Source organism: Homo sapiens, chromosome 11, assembly GCF_000001405.40.
Source record: "Homo sapiens chromosome 11, GRCh38.p14 Primary Assembly".
Taxonomy (NCBI): Eukaryota; Metazoa; Chordata; class Mammalia; order Primates; family Hominidae; genus Homo; species Homo sapiens.
Genome location: NC_000011.10, coordinates 15,004,962 through 15,008,586, shown reverse-complemented (window position 1 = coordinate 15,008,586; position 3,625 = coordinate 15,004,962). Strand labels below are relative to the sequence as shown.

Genomic DNA, 3,625 nt, shown 5'->3' with positions numbered 1-3,625 from the left:
CCATATTTTGGTGAAAAATCAGACCTTGGTGATGAACTTGAGCAGCAGGATATAAATGACTCCCACTAGCTTAGCGTTCCAATAATGGATCACTAGGCATAAATGGCTACATCTTATTTTACTGCACAGAATGGGCAAACTGACCTGACAGTTACTTGACTAGAACTTGAAAGGCATAAATCCTTCCAGGACACTCATGCTGGGAAATATAGGACTGACAGGTGCCGTATCTCACATGTCATTAACAAACTCTCTCTCCTTAGTTCTGAGTGACAAATCTTGGGAACAGAGGTTGGCTGGCCAGTCTTTTTCACGCCACCGGGGCAAGTTCGCTGCAGGTCATTTAGATCAGACATGATCAATGGAGACCTAACCCTGTGTGTTATTGTTGTTCTCAGAGAGGAGAAGGGATAGTCAAACAGTTGTCCCAATTAGTATCCACTACACTGTCATTTTGCCAACATATCTCAAAACCAAGAATCACTAAAACCACCAAATATTTTTCACAAATGTATCTACTGAGCCATGTCTCCCCCAGGCTTTCCATATATATGTATAGTTAGCTTTTGGGTACATATTGCAAGATGCTACACTTATTTGTCTTATGTTTAATTTGTTAGTGACAACTAATCTCTCAAGCTTCTATTCAAATGCACTTTTCCCAAGGCCTGATCAAGAAACCCCAGTTCCCAATGTGCTGACAAGAGGAAATACATTACATTAAAATAACAACAAATTGTCAAGCTAATGAATATATAGAGAAAAGCATTTTGTAAAAGATTCTATGTAAAATACATAATTATGAGGTCATACATTGTCAGTAATATTTTGCATGCTGTGTTTTATGATAGAATGAATTGACTCCGTAGAAAGAGGTAATTTAACTTAATAAGCATCAAAAATATGTCTCAGCCAGCAAGACAATTCAAGTCAATGACATAAGAAAAAGAAAGAGACACTTTTAATATTTTTCTAGCACTTAGAATGTTATATATGAGATAGATTTTGAAGGAAGTGTGTGCAGAGGATACTGACTGAGGCTTTTAAGAGAATGGTTACAGCAATAAACAAAAGATAATTTTTTTTTTTTTGAGACAGAGTCTTGCTCTGCCACCCAGGCTGGAGTGCAGTGGTGCGATTTTGGCTCACTGCAACCTCTGCCAACCAGATTCAAGCAATTCTCCTGCCTCAGCCTCCCGAGTAGCTGGGATTACAGGCGTGTGCCACCATGCCTGGCTTCATTTTGTCTTTTTAGTAGAAGGAGTGTTTCACCATGTTGGCCAGGCTGGTCTCGAACTCCTGACCTCATAATCTGCCCACCTCAGCCTCCCAAAGTGGATTTTAATTGATGAGAATTTCTTGGGCATGATGCCTGCCAGTTGCCTCTTTTACACATATGGACATGACCAGAATAAGTAAGCCAAATGTTTGTGAATCTTTATTGGTTTTCTTGTGCTACTACCCAGCTTTCATGCAGGATAAATGCCATGGATTGTTTATGACAAAACTTGCCTTCCAAATAGTTTTCGTGAGTATTTTGGATTTCCAGAAATAACGCAAGCCTGAAACTTTAGTAACTCTCATTATTCCTTACTGAAGTTGAGGAAGATAGAGCCCACCTAGAAAAGTGTAGGATAGAGAATACAAATAAGCTAAAAATATGACACTGCTTTAAGCCAAAATTCTTTGTAAAATTGTTCAATATTATTTAGTAGGGATACAATAAAACTAATTTTCCATAAATAAAAAATAGTATGCCTTTTTATGCTATAAAAGCTATGTTTAATGTAGCATTTTTGTTTATTTAAAGTTAAAATATTTGAAATTGTGGTTTTTTTCTGAAATTACTTCTTGAGAGGTATTTTTAAGAAATGAAAAATTCAACAACAAAGTGAATCACTCATTCCTAGTAAAAAGCACAATACCAGGCATTTTAATGGTTTGGGAATTTTAGTTGACTATGACAACAGACTTAAGGCATGTCAGCTGCTTAGCTTGGGGTTAGTGGTACACCCCGTACAAACTTTGTCCAAAGGTGAGAATGTTCTATTTCTGTGCTATCCAGTACAGTAACCGCTAGCCACATGTGGCTGTTGAGCTCTGGAAGTGTGGCTAATACAACTTAGCTGAGAAACAGAAATTTTAATTTAAAACATAGGAAATTAAAATTTTAAATAGCCACGTGTAGTGGTTAGTGAGGAGCACAGCTCTAGCAATTGACGCCAGCAAGGAGGGTCTTTTTGTTTTAATTTCCACTAGAGGGCACTATCTCCTTCAGCAGAAGTAAGAACCATGTGCATTTCACCATTTTCCATCTAGTAGTGGAAAACAGAACTGGTGGCATATTTCCAATAGCCTAGAGATGTCTTAGCCTCTTTATAGGTTGGTGCTCCAAGCCGCCATTCACTTAGTCTGTCCCTTCAGTTATGACTTTCTCTAGCCTCATGTCACGTATTCAGAGCACTGTTTTCAGCAAGATGTCACTAAGAACATAGAACTGAGGTATGCCTAAAAAGCAGAAATTCATAAGCTAATATTCAATGGAAAACGTTTAAAAGTAAGTGAAGAAAAATGTATTCTGCACAAATAAATTCACTTTCCCTTAAACAAAATTTAAGATTATATTTTCATTTATGTTTTTTCTTTCAGTCTTTTAATGTCATGAATTTCCAAAAAGATTTCTCAAGCTTATTTTACTATGGAACCTTTATTCATGGAGCACTAATTAACTCTGCCTGAACAAAACACAAAGCAGAGTTTTGAAAGCACTGGAAAGATTTTTCCAGAATGAAAATGATTTATTAATTAGTACCCTTCAGACAGGCCCCTTCAACACTTATTTGTCCACATTTTTGTTCTTGCATTCATCCCACAAGTTTTCACTTGGTTCATAAACATTGTCCCCTAAAATATTTTTCCTTTAAGTTTTTAAATATTTATTGATACATTGAATTCAGTAAACACCTACTACATGCCCAACACTATTGCAGGTGGTGAATATAGTATGGTAAACAAAACTCATGATTTCTACCTTACTACATTCTAGTGGGGAACAGACAAATAAAAAATAAAATATATGAAATGCCAGATGTTGTGTATAATGGAAAAATTAAGCAGGAAATGGGGATGAACTTGCAATTTGAATGTAGTGGGTCAGAGAAAATCTCATTGGAAAACCTTTGTTTTAGTTTGTTCATGGGATTAAATTATATGATTGAAATGGCTTTGACACACTGCACCAGACACATAGGAAATGTTTTGTATGTGGAGAAGTGGGAAATTGTTTGGTTTCCTGTTCTGGTCCTGCCCCAATTAAGTAGTACCCAGATATGTCTCTTCATTTCTCTGGAATTTTTGGCCTGTCCCTACACCTTACCCAGGGCTGCTAACCCAAGGTATGGCTTCTATAACCTCTCTCATTGGAGCTGGGGCAGGCCTCACACCATCTTTCTTAGAAAGGTCAGTTCAACTTGGAGTCTTCACTTGAAAATAAACTTAACATTCATTGAGACCTTTTTTATTGCTAGGATGTTTGCATTTATTATTTCATTTAACTCTCACAGTACTCTGTAAATTTGATATAATTATGTCTACTTTTTCAGATTACAAAAGTTAAACTAACTGA

The 3,625-nt window shown here is 36.5% G+C and overlaps 1 annotated feature.

Annotated features, from left to right (window-relative positions):
* Positions 2,230-2,524: a silencer, noted in NCBI's record as "tiled region #7615; HepG2 Repressive non-DNase unmatched - State 13:Ctcf, and K562 Repressive non-DNase unmatched - State 13:Ctcf". NCBI's record gives its function as "represses a minimal TATA promoter and a strong SV40 promoter by Sharpr-MPRA in HepG2 and K562 cells {active_cell/tissue: HepG2 | K562}" and the evidence as "EXISTENCE:reporter gene assay evidence [ECO:0000049][PMID:27701403]".